The sequence below is a fragment of the Homo sapiens genome, chromosome 5 (genome assembly GCF_000001405.40).
Source record: "Homo sapiens chromosome 5, GRCh38.p14 Primary Assembly".
Lineage (NCBI taxonomy): Eukaryota > Metazoa > Chordata > Mammalia > Primates > Hominidae > Homo > Homo sapiens.
The window spans coordinates 38,363,899-38,384,910 of NC_000005.10; the positions used below are offsets into that span (position 1 = coordinate 38,363,899).

General features: G+C 41.9%; 1 protein-coding gene across 2 annotated transcripts in view, besides 1 other annotated feature; it reads left to right on the forward strand.

Moving 5' to 3' along the window:
• EGFLAM (EGF like, fibronectin type III and laminin G domains) overlaps positions 1 to 21,012 on the forward strand; it is a 206,922-nt gene that overhangs the window by 105,340 nt on the left and 80,570 nt on the right. For both annotated transcript variants that reach the window (NM_001205301.2, NM_152403.4), the window contains exon 6: positions 6,398 to 6,564. In NM_001205301.2, coding sequence (NP_001192230.1) covers positions 6,398 to 6,564 — 167 coding nt within the window. The remainder of the gene's footprint in view (positions 1 to 6,397; positions 6,565 to 21,012) is intronic.
• Positions 18,989 to 19,283: an enhancer, noted in NCBI's record as "tiled region #7458; HepG2 Activating DNase unmatched - State 12:CtcfO, and K562 Activating DNase unmatched - State 12:CtcfO". NCBI's record gives its function as "activates a minimal TATA promoter and a strong SV40 promoter by Sharpr-MPRA in HepG2 and K562 cells {active_cell/tissue: HepG2 | K562}" and the evidence as "EXISTENCE:reporter gene assay evidence [ECO:0000049][PMID:27701403]".

The window sequence follows — 21,012 nt, forward strand, 5'->3', positions numbered from 1 at the left end:
TGCTCAACTCTGCCACTGTGGTAGGAAAGCAGCCATAAACAGTACCTAAATGGGTGAGGTTAAACAGTACCTAAATGGGTGTCGTTGTGTTCCAGTAAAACTTTATTTACTAAGACTGGCAGCTGGCTGAAATTTGCCAACCCTGATTTAAGGCATCATGCTATTTCTAAGTTGAATTCTGAAGATATTTTAATTCAGCTCAATCACCCTTTATTGGATACCTCCTATGAGCATATGTTCATACAAACATGTATGTATGGAGTATCTCATGTGAAAAACATGCAAGAGATTTAGGGATGAATAAATAAGCTGTAGACTCCACCCTTGGACAGTCTACTGGGGAATGCAGATGGACAGAGTTCAGAGGAGTAGTGAGTGTTGTAGGCAGGCATGGCGATCAGGAACCTGGAGAAACATAAGCTTGATCTGACCTAGTTTTGAAGGAAAGAAGGCTTCTTATGGGAGCAAAGAAGGACACATCAGAGATTACCAGGCAAAAGGGGAGGGAGGAAGCAACATGAAAAGCTTAGACTGAGGAAGCCACTTAAGCAGTGGCTTGGAGGCAAGAAGAAAATGTTCCTGGAATTGCTTAGAAAGCCTGGAGCTCTGTGGGGTGAGAGATGGGTCGGTGAGGGTCACACCAAAAAAAGGCCTTATAAAGGTGCCCATCTATATCCTGAAGGGAATAGGGAGCTATGGAAAGTTGTAAGCAGGAAAGAGACTGGTAGCATTCCCGTCTTTGAAAGATCGTGCAGACATCTCAAGGAACACGTAGATGAAGAAGACAAAGTCACCATGCTTAATGAGCTCCCAGCCCAGGAGGAAAGACAGAAGTCTAAAATTATACTGGAAGGTGATCTAATCAGTGTGATAGTAGAATCAGATTCAAGGCATGGGATTGTCTGGAGGAAAGTATTTTTAATTCTGTTTATGAGATGATGTTTAGAAGGAATAATGTGAGAGAAAATACTTAGGGAGGGAGCCATCAAGTAACCCAGCGTCCTCCAGAAAGCATCCCATTGTGGGTTGGTAGGTTTGATGTGGAAAGAAGGAGGCCACAGGTGTCTGTCTGTGCTGTAATTAGGCTTCTGGTCCCCTCCCTCTAAGGCCAGTAGAGTGGCCTCTATGGTCAAGGCTATTCTGGATGTTCTGTTGTATCCCCTAGAGGACAGTTGGCTGCTCCAACAAATTCCACTCTCAAAAGTATTTTCCTAGCAGGATTTAACCAGTTTTAGCCATTTCCTAGTTAACGTCCATGACATGCTTTAGCTTCACTCTTCATCTCAGCTCTGTCTTTCTGGAACAGGAGTTCTCAAACTGAGAGGTGAAATAGAATAGAAAAGAGAATACCACAGGCTCTCACGCATAGTAAAAAGGAGAATCGGTTTGTGAAACTTGTTTCAGGTGTATGTATGTGTGTGTGGTGTTTACTGGGTCACAATGTCCAGTGTATATCTTACCGTGGATCATTCAAAAACACAGCTCTGATATGTGATGAATCCAGAGCATATTTGAGGTTGAACAGGCTTCATTTGCCATGTGTTGGTGTTGAATTCAAGTTCAAGAAACAGATTCCTCTCAGGGGCTAATGACACCTGCTTTATTTTTGAAATTGTAGAATTGGAAATGCCATCTAAGGTATTCTAGGGGGAAAAGTTCAGTGCAGTGTGTTTCAAATTATGGGCCACAGCACTTCAGTGAGTGGCAAGATCAATTTAATGGTCTTTTACCAGCATTTTGTTTTTTAAAAGGAGAAGTAGAAAAGAAAGGAAAAGGAGAGAAAGAAAGGAGAAACATGAATAAGGTAGTAAAGCTAAGTATTTTTTCTTGAAACTTTTTTCAGCTTTGTATTCATATATAATATACATATTTATGTGCATAGGTATATTTACTATGGAAAAATGTTTACTTACTGTGAGTCAAGGTCAGAGATACTGAATTAAGTAGCTCCCACCCTGATCAGGAAGTCACTTGTTACATTATGGTCCCTGATTGAGGACCACCCAGTTTTGCTTTAATATAGTCAACGAGGCCCAGTTCATCCCTTCCAAGGCAGTCAGCTTCATTGTCTGTCATTCCTAATTGACATCAAAAGGTTTTCCTGCCATTGGCTTCTCTGTAAGAAACCACTGGGCCTCTTAGTCCAACATGGAAAACACAGAAGCTTTCCACACCATCTTTATTTGTCTGTCTCTTATGTAAAGACACCACCCTATCCTCACTAAGTTTCCTCCACCTAAGCCAGCAGTACCCACTCTTTGGATCCTGCATCAAGCGGAGATGGGTCTAGAGCAACTTCTGCCCAGTGATCAACATAGAGAACCATGTCTTCCTAGGATATGGATTCTGGGACTTAGACTTTCCTCAGGATTCTAGTTCACAGTGACCTATTCAAATACAGTTCTTGAAATGTGCTATTTTGCGCTGGCTTCCTACTGGTCCTTAGAGGTGCTGTTTCTGCACTGATGCTCAGATGTATTTTATCCCCAGCTTATTAGGTTATAAACTCCCTGAAAATGGAACTGTGCTTACACTTCCGTGGAGCCTCCTGGAATATAACTTTTGTGATGGATGCCTGGTTGATAATCATTCATCATTTGCCAATGGACTAGCCCATGGCAGCCACCTATGGGGTTTGATAGTATCAAGAAAAGTGATTGTTCACTAAGATTGAGATTGGCAATGGGCAAGGTAGTCAAAACACCACAAGAAAGAATTAAAACAGAAAGGTATACCACCCAGTGGTTCTGTGACTTTGGGTAAATTATTTTCCTTCAGTGACCATGTAGGTAGAATGAGAGACTGGATCAGATCAGTGACTCTCAAAGCTTTTGGGATCATTATTTTATCTTTGAGAATCTAATAAAAGTGAAGGACCCTTTACTTAGAAAAATGAAATGTGTTCATGTATAAAATCCTGCATACAATTTCTGAGAGTCCTCAGACACTTGGACCAAATGATCTCTAAGATTTCACCCAGCCCTGATAGCCAGGCTGGATTCTAACAATGCCAATGGTAAGTGGCAAAATGAACCAGTTAGTGAGCCCTGATTAAGTGAATTGATGAATTGGGTTTTGATTACCCACTGCTGGCCGCATTCTCTATTCCCCACCTGAATTCACCTGCCCAGCAACCTTCCAAAGCTGAGCCACTGATCTCCTGAGGTATAGGGTGCCTGGCCCAACCCTATCTCACTACTTGGCAAAATGCTTGCAGTGTATGCCCTGCTGGTGGCTGCCCATGTTTTTGTTGTTGTTGTTGTTTTTGAGACAGGGTCTCATTTTGTCACTAGGCTGGAGTACATTGGTGCAATCATAGCTCGCAGCAGCCTCAACCTCCCAAGCTCAAGCAATCCTCCCACCCCAGACTTTTTTTTTTTTTTTTAAGTTTTTTGCAGAGACAAGGTCTTACTATGTTGCCCAGGCTGGTCTTGAACTACTGGGCTCAAGCAATCCACCCACCTCAGCCTCCTTAGTAGCTGAGATTATAGGCATGCACAACCATGCTGGCTAATTTTTTTTTTATTAAACATAGTGAGACGAGGTCTCACTATGTTGCCCAGGCTGGTCTTGAACCCCTGGGCTCAAGCTATCCTCCCACCTCGGCCTTCCAAAGTGCTGGGATTACAGGCTTGAGCCACCCCACCAGATGGCCAGATGTTCTTCTGTTCCTGTGGGGTGGCAGCCCATTCTCAGTCAACTTCTCACCCTCTGGCCTTTTCATTGTTGAATACATTGCCAAGATAGCGTTGCTATGGTGATCTGACCAACAACTTTGTAGTTAGGATAAAGTGATTTTCTTCAGTCAAAAAAAAGATACAGGTGTTTTGGAGGATGATTTAAGACAATACTTTTGCCTGGTCATCTCTTTCTCAGCCTCACCTTTGTACTTTTGTACCTGAAGAGACTCTAAAAACACTCAAATAAAAAACTCATGACAAAATCAGAGGCAAAATGTTAAAGGTTTTGAACAGGCATTCAATCTGCATGAGCTTGTCTCTCTCACTCTATAGAATAAAAATAAATGCTAATGATTTAATCTCTTGTTTGCTGGAAATAAGAGTTTTTCTTTTCTGCATTAAATGGACAACATGTACAAAATCATCTTTTTGTTTTGCTGTAGTTTTTACATAAAGATTGTTGCAGGTCTTTGCAGGTAGTCCTCGGTAAATAACAGCAGACTGTGAGAATAGATATGGGTTATTTCCTCTATAAATATCACAAGGGAAGCTTAGCAAACGATAGCAGAGAGTTTTATCTAAAGATCACATCTTTTCTGACTTTACTTTTAGGTATCCCCTGTGGTTTTCCTCTGCGAAGTGATTTTGTTCTAATTTGAGTTTGTAAATGTGTTTCCTTCCACTCACCGAGGTTTTCTCTTCGATGATAAAGTTAGTTTACATGAGAATTCCATCTTTGGGAAAAGAATATCAGGAAAGAGAAACCAGCCCTGCTTCCTCCATGGGCATACCCTGTGAACTGTGCTTTTCCAAACACGTTAACACACTACCCCCAGCTTGGTGAGCTTGAGGAAGCATCATTTATTGGGCATAAGGACTCCATCTGGCTTTCAATCATTCCTGCTAATGAAAAACTGGGCGAGCTCACATTAAGGAAATCCGCTGTTCACCCCGGCATCTTCTTTTAGCAAAATGACTCTCTATTTCCTTGCCTGGTAAGTTGCTCCTCAAAGACAAACAGAACTTTTTTGTTTCCTGCCTTCCTCTAAATATCTGTGAGCAGAGGTGTTTAACAACAGAACACCTGAGAGGTGGCCAGGGAGCAAGCAAAGGGATGGGGAATCGTCTGCCGCCCACCGTCACTCCCCCTTTTCATCCAGTATTAAGGGTCTTGTAAATCTAACCTCATCCTACCAATCCAAGTGGGCCTCACCATTTATCAGCTATGTGACCTTGGGCAAGTTACTTACCTGTTCAGTGCCTTAGTTCCCTTCTCTGTCAAAGAAAAAAAAAAGGTGGAGTGTTTAATATTAGTACCTACTGCATAGGGCATTTTTGAGAAGTAAATGAGTTAAGGTATTAGAATGGTGCTTGGTAGATGGAAAGCCCTTGACGTTATTAGCCATTAACACAAAGCCTCTCCTCCCCTTAGGCCATTCACACTGTCTGCAGGCCATGCACAATTATTTCCAACTTTTATCTTGTAGTTCTTATTACCTGGAATGTTCTTTTTTTCTCCCCTCCAGCTAGGATGTCCACATAGAGCAGTGCTATCCAGTAGAAATACAACGCCAGCCTATTTGAAAGTTTACGTTTTCTAAGAGTGGCATTTAAAGGGCAAGAAGAAAGAAATGAAATTAATTTCAATAATATATTTTAACCCACTGTATCCAAAATATACTCGTTTGAACATATAACCCATATAAAAACTATTGAGATATTTCACATTCTTTTTTATTTTTCTTTAAAATCCAGTGTACATTTTACACAATAGCACATCTCAATTCAGACACATTTGAAGTGATGACTGACTACCACATAGGGTAGTGGTACCATATTGGATCATGCAGGTATAGAGTAAGCAGGCAGCTATAAGTTACTAGTTCTGTGAAGAAGTCCCTTGAATAATGTCTGGTACCTGCTGAGTGTTTACAATTTGATGCCAGGTACTAGGCTGGAGATATATATCTTATTTAATCTTTATGGCAGTCCTCTTAGGTAGATCCTTTTATTATTCTCATTTTACAGATGGGAAAACTGAGTCTTAAAGGAATTAAGTAGCAGCTAGTAAGTAGGAGAGTCAGGATTTGAACTCCAGAGCTCATCCTCCCGCCTTCTGTGTATTACCTCCCAGATGGGAGCTCTAAGCAAAGGTCTGCCTTCTCTGAAGGGCCCTCCAAAGGACATGTAAAAATTCAGCACATTGGCGTAGCTGTATAATTAAGACTAAGAATGTCCGTGAACAGATTCTTCTTGGGTTTTCCCATGACAATTCATGCAATTAGTCACCCTATAAAACTTATATTTATTTTGTGAACAGATTGTGAATAGACGGAATCTGTGTTCTTCTGACCTCTGGGGATGGGGACTGCCAAAGGGAGGATTGTTTGTGAACATCTGGAAGGCAGAGTCCTTGAAAGCGAATTCCTATGTGAAGATCTTTTCATCATAGTGAGGGCCTTGCAAGGAAAAACGGATTGTCTTTAAGTAGTGTTTACAACTGACCCTAAAAATAATCTACTTGTTTTTATCGGCAGGGACTTGCAAATGATGACTTGTGATTTCAAATCAGGATTACTTTCAGATAGGAAATGTTAACTTACTTTTACAAGTATTGCTTCCAGAGTTCAAATGCTATTAGTTTACATAGCCAGCTAGCTTCCCTTCCCTCTGGTATTTCTGAACTACTGCTTCTTCTGTTTTTCTAATCAATAAAGGCCAGATTTCGACAAGAAGTGGACCTCAATCCATGAGCGGATCCAGATGGACTCCATGGTTATCAAGGGCCTCGATCCAGATACCAACTACCAGTTTGCCGTGAGGGCAATGAATTCCCATGGCCCCAGCCCCCGCAGCTGGCCCAGTGACATCATCCGGACCCTCTGTGAGTACCAGGGTCCTTCTGAGGGACCAAGGGAGCTGCATATCTGGGCTTGCCTCATGAAGACTCACTTGACCTGGATGCCGTGCAGAAGGACAGCCTGGAAAAGGGCTAACCCCAGGCTTTCCTCCTGTGGTTTTCCCAGCCCTTTGGAAGTTAGAGGCTGTCAACAGGGACACGGGCTGTTTCTATGTCCTGGAGGTCAGCAGAGGATTTATTTTTGCATCATCCTTGGGAAGTTTGAGGTCAGTTTTCTTTCACAGTCACACAACAGACCACATAGCAAAATGATATGCAGCCTTCCCCCTCCTTTTCATATTTTGAGAAAATGAGTTAATCTTAGAACCATAGGAGAAAAAACTAAGGCCCCTGGAGGCTTCAGCGTTCGTGTTCGCCTGAAAATAAAGGATATTCAAACAACATCAACTCCTCTGAATGATGGTCGAGGAGTATCAAAGAAGTTGAGCGCTGACATGGAGCTGGGGCTGTAGCCAATGGTGTATGTTCTCATAGTGCCTAGGAACACTTGGGCCAGTGTTCATCAAATCACCTGGGGGTTTTGTTAAAGTCAGATTCTGTTTTTGGTGTGGGTTTTAACAAAATCCCCCACAATGCCAAGAACCATTCTTGGATTGGCAAAAGCTTAGAACACTTTGTCAAGTCCAGCCCATTTTAGACGTTTTTTGTATTTGGGGAGTGGAGGGTATATTTCTGTAAACTCAGAACCCTGTGTAGCAGGGAGAGTTGAGAATGAAAATGTTGGCACTTTTTTGTTTGAAGATTCTGATCTTTTCAGTATTGCCAATACATTCCTCCGGTAGAGCCCGGCTGCTCCTTTGGGTCCTCTTTACCCAGAAAATGTGCTGTCAGAAAGGAAGCAGCACTGGTAACTGGCTTAACCAGCCAACATGAAGCCCTGTTTTTATTGGTTAGCAGAGCTGAATAATCTCCTCTCCTCACAAAGCACCCACACAGCTGACATCCAAGGCCACTGCTGTGTTCAGGGGTAGAGATTCAGGAGGTTCCCCAAATCTGAGGAATTTTGGCTCCTTTGAAAACAACCTCTACCCTAACCTTGAATGTCGGGTCGCCTTTTGTCAAATTAAATTGTTGGGTTATATAGGGAGGCTATACTCCAAAACACACACATGCGCACACACACATACACACACACACACGCACACACATATGCACATGCTCGTGCACCCTATAAGTACTATTGATCACCCAGGAAAAAAAAATGTTTTCACTCTTCTTCTTTAGAATTTAGAAGCTTAAACTTCCCAGACACATTCCAAAGGCTGACGGCATTCTTCCTAGAAGAAATGTTGATGATTCGATTTAAAGGAAGGCCTTGTTTGATTACTCTTTGGCTGAACTTTATGGAATAGCAGGAGCTAGGGGCCGACAGTACTTTGAAACACTGAGTTCGTCTTTTTGCACTACAAAGTGAGCAGCCACTTGGTGCTGTGTCCCCATCCACCCTCCCCATGGAACTCCTGCTCCCATTTCGTGAGCTGCTCCAGGCTCACCTCTTTCAGTCTGTCCCTTAGCTTTCCCTTCTCCGTAGAGTCAAGAATGTAGAATAAAGATGAGATATAACAAGCACATGCTGATTTAGATGTGCGCATAGAGACTGGAGTCAGGGAAGGATGGGTGGGTTGGGGCACCTCTCATACTGCTCCTTTTTTTTTTTTTCTTGACTCAGAGACTCACTCTGTCACCCAGGTTGGAGTGCAATGGCGCGATCTCGGCTCACTGCAACCTCCGCCTCCCAGGTTCAAGCAATTCTCCTGCCTCGGCCTTCCGAGTAGCTGGTATTGCAGGTGCCCACCACCATGCCTGGCTAATTTTTGTATTTTTAGTAGAGACGGGGTTTCACCACGTTGGCCAGGCTGGTCTCTTTGGCCAGGATGGTCTCGAACTCCTGACCTTGTGATCCACCCTCCTTGGCCTCCCAAAGTGCTGGGATTACAGGCATGAGCCATGACGCCCGGCCTCATACTGCTTCTTTTTTAACGGAAACACTGATCTGGTCTTAGAGTTTCTGATTATAATTTCCCCATTGCTGGATCCTGCTTTTCTGGATTGAGTGGATAAGTTATATGAAAGTGTTTTACAGATCTGTGAGATTTTATTATAATTGGCCTGTTATGTGAAGTAAAATTTTAAAATTTCAAAGTAATTGTGGGTAGGGAAGGTGGACAAAACCATGCTAAGTCAATGAAAATTCTCAGTTATGAAACATTCTTAAATAGACATAATTTTACACTTCTAGGTATACACAGTTACTCAGATCAGAATAACAAAATTTATTAGATGACCTGTTTCATGAATACAAAAGCATGTGCTATAATTAGTATTTCAATCGTGGTTTTTCTCCTTGATCACTTCTGACATTTTGGAAAACCCTTTATTCTAGGATACATTTATATTTTTTATTTTGGTATTGGTTTAGACTATTATTTTGCTTCCAAAACATGATTTTCCCATACATAAAATTACCTAATTATCAAATAGCACTATCTGAATTAAATTAAAACTGTTAAATTTTAATTTAACAAATTAACAAATTACTTCAAATTAATAAATTTCAAATAATACAAAATACTTCAAATTAATACATTTGAAGTATCAGAGCTACCATTGGGAAGATGTACTATGAGCCAGGCAATGTGCTGGGCACTTTACCTACAAAACCCATTTAATCCTCACAGAAACACTGTGCTGGAGGAATAGTGTCCCCTTTTTACAGATTAAAAAAAATGAGTTTTTAAAAGGTAATGTATTTTTGGCAAGGTTGATCATTGTAAAGACAGGATTTGAACGTGGGTTTGGCTGACTGTGAAGCTGCTTCCCTGAGTGAGATGTATGTGGCTTCTAGTGTACCCATCACCCAAATAGTGACCATTGTACCTAAGAAGTAATTTTTCAGCCCCCACCTCCCTCCCAACCTCCCCGCTGCCTTTTGGAGTCCCCATTGTCTCTCATTTCCATCTTTATGTCCCCATGTACCAATTGGTTAGTTCCCACTTGTAAGTGAGAGCATGCAGTATTTGATTTTCTGTTTGTGAGTTATTTCACTTAGGATAATGACCTCCAGTTTCATTCATGTTGCTTAAAAGACGTGGGTTTGTTCTTTGTTATGGCTGCATAATATTCTGTAGTGTATATATACCACATTTTCTTTATTCAGTCAACTTTTGATAGATACTTAGGTTGATTCTGTGACTTTGCTATTGTGAATAGTGCTTCATAAACATGCGAGTGCAGGAGTCTTTTTCATATAATGATTTCTTTTCTTTTGGGTAGATGCCCAGTAGTGGGATTGCTGGCTCAGTGGTAGTTATATTTTTAGTTCTTTGAGAAGTCTCCATAGTGTTTTCCACAGAGGTTGTACTAATTTGCATTCCCATGAACAGCGTATAAGCCTACCCTTTTCTCCACAGTCATGCCGACATCTGGTAGCAAAGTTGGCATCAAATCAAGTAAACATTCATGTAGATGGTGGGAAGTGGGAGGACTGAGGATGGGATAAGCCCAGCGTGTAGAAATACCATACTGGCCTCACAAATTTATTCAGAGTAGGGTTTTTTTGACTAGTCATTCTGATTGGTGTAAGACATCTCATTGTGGTTTTAATTTGCATTTCTCTGATGATTAGTGATGCTGACTATTTTTTCTTGAGTTTTTGGCCACTTGTATATCATTTTTTGAGAAATGTCTGTTCATGCTGTAACCACCCAACAGTTCACCTTACCCGCTGCCTAGACAGAGCCTATTTATCAAGACAGGGGAATTGCAATGGAGAAAGAATCGTTCACACAAAGCCAGCTATGCAGGAGATCAGATTTTATTACTGCTCAATCAGTCTCCCTGAGCATTCGGGGATCAGAATTTTTAAAGATAATTTGTTGGGCAGGGGCTTGGGAAATGTGGAGTGCTGATTGGTCAGGTTGGAGATGGACTCCTAGGGGGTCGAAGTGAGGTTTTCTTGCTGTCTTCTGTTCCTGGATGGGATCACAGAACTGGTTGAGCCAGATTACCGGTCTGGGTGGTGTCAGCCTATCCATCCAGTAAAAGGTCTGCAAAATATCTCAAGCACTGATTTTAGGTATTACAATAGTGATGTTATCCCCAGGAGCAATTTGGGGAGGCTCAGACTCTTAGAGCCAGAGGCTGCATGATTCCTAAACCGTAATTTCTAATCCTGTAGCTAGTTTGTTAGTCCTACAAAGGCTGACTGGTCCCCAGTCAAGAAGGGGATCTTTATGGGAAAAGGCTGTTAGTTTTGTTTCAGAGTCAAACCATAAACTGAATTCCTTCCCAAGGTTAGTTCGGCCTACGCCCAGGAATGAATAAAGACAGCTTAAAGGTTAAAAGCAAGATGGAGTCAGTTAAGTCTGATCTCTTTCACTGTCATAATTTCCTCTGTCATAATTTTTGCAAAGGTGGTTTCATTGTCCTTTGCCCACTTTTTAATGGGGTTGTTTCTTGCTTGAGTTGACTTCCTTGTAGATTCTGGATATTAGTTCTTTTTCAGAGGCGTGATTTGAAAATATTTCTCCCATTTGGTAGATTGTCTGTTTACTCTGTTGTTGTTTTTTTTTTTTTTTTTTGGCTGTGCAGAAACTTTTTAGTTTAAGTCCCATTTGTCTATTTTTGTTCTTGTTGCATTTGCTTTTGGTTTTAAAACTCGTAAGGCATATTGCACATACAGAAATGTGGGTAAAACATATATGTGCACTGAAAGTCAACCCGTATATTTCGGTATAGCCCTAGTATTTTACAGCTGGCAGCCCCTTAGATTAGTTAGACCCAAACCAAGACACAGAAATGTTTTGAACACTACTCTCCACTTGTGAGGTCAGAATTTCCACATGTCGGGCTTACCCCATTCTCGTCCCTCTCACTCCTCTCTGTCTCCATGAATATTGGCTTGATTTAATGCCCACTTTGCTCCTTGAACAGCCACCTTCACAACACAATGTTCAAGGAGATCCTTGAGGCTAAGTGCCCAGTGGGAACCTTGAGATCCCACCAAGGACACAGGCCACTCCCTGGGGTCCTCTGTGGCCTGTTTATCTTAGGGCTAAACTCTTTTGTAAGAAAAGATAACACTTCAGCCCTACTAACTGGGGAAGCTTTCACTTCCCACTGGGCCTATTAATGCCAGACACTATTAGCAACTTAATTGCTTAATGGGGCAATTGGAAGATCTTAGTTGCTCTTGTGCTGGTAGTTAATGAAAGCCAGGCCCAGTGTTTTCATTAACTGGCACTTAGCTGAAGTGAGAAAGGAGGATGGTGTTGGTGGTTCCACTGCAATGTTGAGAAGTTCGTGCAGTGTCCACATCTAATTCCAGCTCCACAACATTATAAGTAGAACAGGAAGAAAAAAAAATGACTTTAGTGTCTAGGTCCTCTAATGAGAGCTAGGATCATTTTGGTGACCTTGAATAATAATGGTGCATCTACATGTACTTCTGTCTTCTCCTGGGAGGCGTTCCACACAAATCAGCACCTGTTTTGTTTCCAAGAGGAAATTCAAAGAAGACCCAAATCATGATCTCTCATTCTTTATCCCCATCCTGCTGTATTTTTTTTTTCCCTGCAAGAAAGAAACACCAGCAGCATTATAGTTTCCTTTTGACCTGGTAAATCAGGCAGTTGGAGTGCAGAACTGGGGGCTTTGTAAAAAATGTATTCACTGCCTCCACTGGCCACCAACTACTGAGCTTGAAGCTTAATGAGTACATTCTTTCATCAAGTAGAATGAAAGCCAGTAAAAAGGACATGAATGGTAAATAATAGAAATGGCAGAAGTAAAAAAGTCACTTGCCTTTCTTCTTTTTTCCAAAAACGGGAATTTAATTAAAAATAAGTTACATGTGTAATCAACTCTAGGGTTATATAACTTCCCCTAGGAATAGAACTTGGTCTTAACCACCAAAACCACTTAATTTCTAGGATACTATCCTCATGATATGAGCAGAGAAAGAACAAATACATTCTTCACTGAAGTGAATTGGTGTCCTTAGATCAGTTCCTAGTAGATGGTACTGTTTCTGTTCCTAGCAAAAGCCGTTTTGCTCTTTTCTGCTTCAGAACTTTAGCACCTGCTGTTTCCTGGGCTTTGAACTCTCTTCCCTCAGATCTTTCTATGATCATGCCACCAGCCTCCTCCCTTTCTCCTTTCAGATCCTAGCTCAAATGTCACTTTCTCAGATAGGCTTCTGGTTTTCTTGAGACAGGGTCTTGGAGTGCAGTGCCATGATCTCAGTTCACTGCAACCTCCACCTCCCGGGCTCAAGTGATCCTCCCACCTCAGCCTCCTGAGTAGCTGGGACTATAGGCACATACCATCACGCCTGACTAATTTTTGTATTTTTTGTAGAGACAAGGTTTCACCATGTTGCCCAGGCTGGTCTCGAATTCTTGGGCTCAAGTGATCTGCCTGCCTTGGCTCCCAAAGTGCTGGGATTACAGTCCTGAGCCACTGTGCTCGACCCCAGGCTTCTGTGGTCTCAGCCTAATGCCCTGCTTTATTTTCTCCATAGCACTTTCACTGCCTGAATCTATATTATGCATCATATTGTCTGTCTGTATCTCCTCTCTAGGATAAGGTCCATATTGGAGCTGGAATAACTTGTTCAACGTTGTGTTCTCTTTTTTTTTTTTGAGACAGAGTCTCGCTCTGTCACCCAGGCTGGAGTGCAGTCGTGCGATCTCAGTTCACTGCAACCTCAGTTCACTGCAACCTCCGCCCCCCAGGTTCAAGCGCTTCTCCTGCCTCAGCCTCCCGAGTAGCTGGGATTACAAGCACCTGCCACCATGCCCTGCTAATTTTTTTATTATGATTTTTAGTAGAGATGAGGTTTCACCATGTTGGCCAGGGTGGTCTGGAGCTCCTGACCTCAGGTGATCCTCCTGCCTCCGCCTCCCAAAGTGCTGGGATTACAGGCGTGAGCCACCACTCCCAGCCATCAAATGTTGTGTTCTCAACACCCTATGCAAGGTCTGCGCTCAATAAGTATTTATTGAGTATGTAAATGAGTGAATGTGACTTAACAAGCTAAGAGTCTGTGACTACTTTGGTGATTGGATAACTCCCTACTGCTACTGTATGGGAACTTCAAAGACAAGATGAAAGGAAACAGTTGTTCTAGAAACCCACATAGGCCAAAAGTGAATTTCCCATTGGCAAGGTTCGCAGGCAAAAGTGAACTCCCAGAATTGCAATGTGGTATAAATAAGGAAAAGGTAAACAAATAGAGTAAAAGAGGGAGGAAGGAAAGAAGGAAGGAAGAGAGCAAACCCAGTGAATTTAAATTCAAGGCTGTAAGGATGAGATTCTAATGCTAAAAAGAGTACAGTTTGCTGATAGCGGGTTGGTGAAAGGAGAGACATTTTCTAACTCTCTTTCAAACCAAGCCCTCATTTTACCCCTGGGTTCTTACTTGATCATTATAATAAGCATTAACATTTCTAGACTACCTTTTCCTCCTTTTCCTAATAAGGCTAATTATGGTCTCAGATCCTCAGGGATTACATAGAGAAGTATGAGAGATGTTTTGTTTTGGTTTGATTTTTGCCATACTGTTCTCTCCATAAACTGTTTTCTTCCACAGTTTCAGAAACATACTCTTCCACTGAGCTGAGACAAACTCCCTCTGGCTCAAATCAGATTTCTACAATAAATCTGATTCCATGCTGTTCCCCAGCACCCTCTCATCTCACCCCTCTTTTCTTCTCTACACCTTCCTGCTTGCTTAGTACAGCTGTCGTTGGTTGTGTAAACCTGTTGTCCCATAAGTGTCTGTGTGTGAGTCTGGCTTTTGCCCAGTTTTGCTCTGAGATTTGGGCCGCTGTGTTTTTCATTGCCCATCTGCCTGGAGACCAGTTACAGCATGCGAGGATCCCGGGGTACATGTTGTCATAGAGCCACAGAATAGATTTCCCTTATCCCTGTTCGCAAGTGAGGACTCTTCTTTGGCGGCAATGCCCCTGAATAGGCTGCAGCAGTGAGCAGAGAGGAAGCAATGGAGACAGAAGGTAGTGGCATGTTCTGGGGATGGCTACAAAGCAATCAGGAAGTGCTCCAAAGTCCCTGTGACTTATTAGCACTCTCTAGCAGCTTCCTTACAGCTGCAGCCTCTTTCAATCCATGCCTATGAAAGTTCTTGCCAACCTTTACACTATTCACTGCCCCCAAGCATCTGTACCTTTGAACAGAGCAGAATCTGGCCGGCAAGTCTGGGTCTGAGGTCCAGGAAAACTGTCCTCTTACTACCTTGCTGTGGGACCTCCTCAGAAAAGACACTTAGTATCTCTGGGTCTCAGCTTCCTCATCTCTAAGATGGGTACAGTAATCCTGAGACAGGTGATATTTTCTACTTCTCAGGGTTATTTTAAGAAAACACAAGTGGAACAGAGGTTAAGGTATCTGACCACTCTTCAAGATGAAGGAGATGTTAATAGATGTTCCCTCCATGCCTAGTTACTAAAGGATGGTGTAGCTGACAGGGGCAGCCACTGGGGGTTCTGTAGCTTTTTCATTAGACTCCAGGCTCTGAGCTCTGTTCTGGGAATGGGAAGACATCAGAATGCCAGAATTCAGAAACAGAAGTACAAGAACAAAAAGTTTCCTCTCTGGGAAGTGGAAGAATGGAGGAAGCCCTCTGAGTGAGGTCCACCGGAATCATTAGGATGGGACTTGGTTGTGTCGGGGAGGGAAGACTTTCCCTTTACCCACAGAGGGGTTAATAACTGAGTGTATGAAATAAACGGACAGCAGGCAGATTAAGAGGAGAAAAGGTACACACATTTTGTATATGCACAGGGGGCATCCAAGGAAAAAAAGTGAATACCCCCAAACCCAGTGGGATCTAGAAGCTTATAGACAGGGGAGGAAGGACGCAGAGAACACAGGAGAGAGTAAATGATGCATGGAACCTCCAAAGAATAGGTGACAGATAGCCCATGACAGTCTGTCTCGGTGTGGCGTTAACCCCCAGTCTCCCCTCCTGAGATAGGAGTTAATCTTCCCTGGTAATGAGATTCCGGGGAGGGGATCCGTTGGCAGTTGCATTCCTTTTGGAGGATCAGTCTTCAGGCAGATAAGAGAAGTTCAGAGAAAGCCCCTCCCTGAATGTGCTGCTCCCCGGGTGCCCTCAGTGTGAAGCAATCAGCCACAGCAAAGCGGCTTGTGTTGGGGGGACATTTCCTGAACTCCTTCAGTTGGCTGCTTAGATTTAAAAGACTGCAGTGATCAGATGTCAGAGAATTAAAACTGCAAGTCACAAGCTCTGATAACAATAAAATTTCATGTCTCTTACCACTTAAGCACATTCTAGACTCAGGCAAAAGGAAAAAAAAAAAAAAGAAGAAAAGCTCTAGAGTTACAGTATCATGCTGCTAGCTTTGTTTGCTTTTAGTCTTCCCAAAAATAACCATTTACTGAGACAATGGTCAGCAAATTTTTCTATAAAGGGCAAGATAGTAAATATTTTAGGATTTTTAGGCCAACTTTGTTGTCATAGCAGGAAAGCAGTCATACAGTAAATAATTATACATGGCTGTATTCCAATAAAACTATTTATGCACACTGAGATTTGAATTTAAGTTTTATGTGTCACAAGAAATTATTATTCTTAAACTTTTTCCCCAGCCCCTAAAAATGTAAAAACCATTGTTACAGCAGGCTGGATTTGGCCCACGGGCCACAGTTTGCTGACCTCTGTACTATACTGTTTGGGCATTTTTCCTTAAATTTTCAAGAAATTTGTCAGGAAATTTGGTAAATCCCCTTTTAGATAGCAATTTTGTCAAGCTTTTAAGGAATCAATTAGCACATACTAATGAACTTGTTCCCTTGATAGAGCTGTCTGTGATTTAATTTTCACATACATGTTCTTAAAGAAGAGACCTGGAGAGCCTGCAATCCAACTGCTTTGGAACAGGTTTGTGCTGGTGACATTGGAGAAAGACAAAAAGCAAACTGAGGAAGAGGTTCCTTTGCTAGGCATTATTCCAGGAGCATGGGAAAGGCCAATGAGTCAGTGAGCTTCATGGATTTGTAAATCTTTAGAACGTGAGATGAAAAAGGGAACAGTAGGAGCGATAAATAATTTGTTTTACTCATAGCCTAGACAAACCTGCATTTTCAGTTTGCATTTGAGCGTGAATATAACTTCAGATGTAATTTTACATTCAGGGTGTCCTCCATGGCAATCGCTCTATTGATTTGCTGATGACTCCATGCATGTAAATCTGAGCAACATTCATTTGCACAACTTTATTGGCTCTACAGGGAATGATTCACTTTGCTGTTTAAATACCTATTAATTGCTCTTCTGAGGCCTTTGTGCATCTTACATTATCATACATTTACTAATAATCAGGACACCAATATTTTACCCCCTCTGGCTAGGTAGAGAAGAGAGACTAAAGCAAATGATAAGGAAATATAAATTTTCAAAGGAAAGGAACTCACGATGCTCTGATTTCAACTGGAGCATCTGCTCAGTCGGTCGGCTGATATTTCATGGCCTCAGAATGTGCAACTATATACTGTTTATTCCACTCAATGGATTTTTAAACATTAATATATTGAGGTGATATCCACATACATATCCACACACAATTATCTTACCCATTTTCACTTTGTTTCCTTTTATTTACTTAATTATCCATTTTGTTCTCTTTCCTTCACATTCATCATAATGTCATGGCTAATCTTTTCTGTTCTTTCCTTTGGAGCATTTCTTGCTTTTATATAGTTCTTCATTGGGATCATTTCTTAGCATCTAAATTCTTGAATCGTTTCAGTTCTTTGATGGGAGTAGGGCCACAGTTGTTGTTCAGCACAAAGAGAGGAGGTCTGTGAAATCAGCTTAACACAGACACATAGGAGGGACGCGGTGCATGCTGGCTGAGTTTGATGGATCTCATCTGATAATGCAACCGAATACGAAACACTTATGTACAAATATAAATGAGAAGCAACTGCAGGAGAAAAGATGACTTTTCTAGGGATCTCAGTAGTCATCAGGCTCCTGGCACGAAATAGAGGCATAAGTACTTGGATGATTTGAAACAAGTTTAATGAGGGGACTGTTTGCAACAGCTTAGTCATGTGCTAATTGGGACCAGTATCCAGATGGAAAGGGAGGGCCATCCAGCAAGAGCTATGACCTTCAGACATGTGTCCCATGATAACCTCATAGGGTAAAATTTAGGGGAACACTCTGACTCTTTTTCCTCTCTCTTCTTTCTTGTTGGTGCTTCCTAATGGGCAGCACACAAGTGGAAGCCAGGCAGGTCAGCTTCCCAGGGCACAGGGCAGGGTGGAGAAGGACAGAGGAATTTAGGAATCAAGTCTGAAAAGGTAATCGCCAAACTGGGTTTTGGTCCAGGATCTGCCACTTGATTCCTAAAATTAGTGAGATTCCTTTTGTCTAAAGATTCGATTCCTCAAGCGTGTTCAGAGAAGAACAAGAAGGTCAGTGTAGCTGGAGAAGGGAGTTCTGGGGCAGAAAAGTCGAAGGAGATGACGTTAGAGAAACCATTGCAGTAATTGCAAAACAGAAATAGTATTTGTGTTATCGCCAAATAGAAAAGAATATTGTGCTCTATAATGCTTATTGTTAGTGAAAAAAATTCAGGCAACATAAAAAATATTAAAAGGTCAAAATGAAAATTATCTCTAAACTCAGCATCTAGGTATAGCCACTATTAATATTTTGGCAGATAATATCTTCCAGAATTTTTTTTAATCCAATGATGAAATCATAGTACATACACTTTTTCTGTACAACAAAATACTTTATACATATATAAATGCAAATGAATGTAGGTATACATCACAAAATTTAATAACAATGTATTCCATTATAAAGGTGTGCCACATTTATTGAACTAATTCCTCATTGATGGACATTTGGATTGCTTCACTGGTGTAAACAAAGCTGGGCCTCTTGATGGTAACCTTACTTGTCTTTTGGTTGTCCAAGTTCATCTTCCCTTCTGGTATCTTTTTGAAGCAGAGTGGGCCAGCACCATTATTTCTCCATTAGTTTCTAGTTGGATAGACTGACATGCACAGCTGATCAGCAAGTGGATGGTATTCTGAACCCAAGTCTCTTATCTGCTATTTCACAAATTTAACCAATAGCCTATGTTGCACTAATCTCTTATTAACACATAATATTCATATATACCTTTTGAGATAAAAATGTTTTTTCAAAAGGAAAAATAAGTCAGCTGCTGTAAGGATCTATCTCTAAATCTGAGCCCCAATTGGAAATTTTTGGTGGTACCAGCTTCTTATTCCCACTGATATGAGGAGCCAAGAGGCCTGTCTTAGAACATAGATTAGTGCTGCTTTTGAACTCTAATCCCAGCATCTACCATATTTTAAAATGTGATTGTGTCTCCATTTTGGCCCAGTGGAATGTATCTCCCATCACTGATGTTGATCACAGGATCCTTAGGGAGTGCAGGGGCATGCCAGCCACAGCTGCTCAGGAGGAAGTATCAACAGTCATCCAGCAGATGGCAGTAGTTCCCACACTTACAGAGCCGGACGAGCCCTTGCGACTCAGTCTGGAGTCACCTGAAGTGGTTGACCTTGAGAGCAGCTCCATTAGATTGCGTCAGATAGAGGGCACCTTCTATGGTTCAAAGTCCCAACCAACATGGGAGAAGGCAACTAATTTTAGATTTTTTTCTGGTGCAACCAAACGTCCACAAACAAAAACAGATATTTCTTCAGCGTTCTTTGGCGTTTATAACATTTTATTTACAATGCTGTGTCAAAATGATGCAAACAACTGGTACATACATTTCTTTCCAAAATAAAATGAAATAAAAAGCTGGCAAATTCAGAAAGAATTACAACAATGAAAATTAGAGGAGTGGGTGATGAGAAAGGCTACAAACAAATTTGTCAGGCCTTTTTTTTTTTTTTTAACATTACCCCTGAAAACTGTTTGGGTGATGTTCAAGAAAGTAAAGAACCTAATTTCTGACTCTACATTGATTATTTTGCTTGTTTAAGCACTTATTCACACAGTTTCCAAAATGTGTATTTGATGTCTGTTTATGCCCAGGTAATTTCTGGATGCTGGGGTTTTAGCAGTAAACAAGATCAATAGTGTCTCCGCCCTCATGAGGTATATCTGTGGGAGAGTCTGTGAAATAAGTCTGTATCACATTATATTACATAAATAATATCATCAGTAATGATAAGTGTCAAGAGGAAAAGTGAAGGGCTAAGAGGGTGTAGAGGATGGTGGGAGCTGCTGCTTGGGATAGGCTATCAGGGAAGGCTTCTCTCAAAGAGAGATTTGAGCAGAATCCCTCCACGTGGAGGGAGTGACAAATGCAGAGGTCCTGGGGTGACAGCCCACAGGACACTGGAAGCTCACAGAAAGAGGCCCACGTGGTGGGAATGTGGTGAGTGAGAAAAATGATAGGAAGTGAGGTCAGAAAGTTTGCCAGGGGTCAGAGCGTGTCAAATCTTATAGGTCCTGATGAAGACTTTGAATCTTATTCAAAGTTAAAGGCCAAGATATTGAAATTTTGAGCAGCAAAATGACATGGCCTGACTTATATTTTAAGCAGGATTGCTGTGGCTGCAGTGGTGGAGCTCACTGGAGAGGAAGGAGAAGGAATAAGGAGGCAATTTTATATTGCTTTAAGGAGAACAGACATGAAAAGAAAAAAGAGGTAGAGTGCCAAATGGAAATCATAGAATTTTGAAACTGGCGAGTCATTGAAGAACCTAGCCAGACTTCCACAATTTTCGGATAAGGAACTGACACCACCAGATTATGTGACTCTCTGAAGGTCTTACAGTCATCTGGGACTCTCTAGCCAGTGATCCTTGCGCTTCCTGTCCTCTTCTCTGTTGCAGAGACCCCACTTACATGCGTGGTTACACCGCTCCATTCTCACCCATATTCTGTTGGTTCCTCTTGAGAGCAGTGTGAGTGTTGCTCCCATGCTCCCAAGTGGGGAGTTTCTACATCAGTTCCCTGAGCTATTTCCTTATATAAGCCAGAAGTACTGGGATGCCTTTGCCTTTCTTAGTGTCTCAGGAACACTTTCTGACCGGGAACACCTGCTGTGTCCTGCTGCATGTCCCAGCCACATGTGGGAAAATCCTGCGGTTAGACTGAAGGCAGTCTGTGCAGTGACAGAGTGGCCCATAGGGACCTGGCTGTAAACCCAACAGAGGTTAAGAAAGTTTGGGGATCTGTATCCCAGGCTCATTCTACTGCACTTGGCTCCCACAGGCTCTTTGCTTCATGTCTGTTACTACTCTATTGTGCCCCCAAATGCTCAAAAGTATTTGGGGGCACAATAGAGTGGTAGATTTCAACTGGGGGTGATTTTGGTCCCCAAAGAATATTTGGCAATGCCTGGAGACATTTTTGGCTGTCACAAC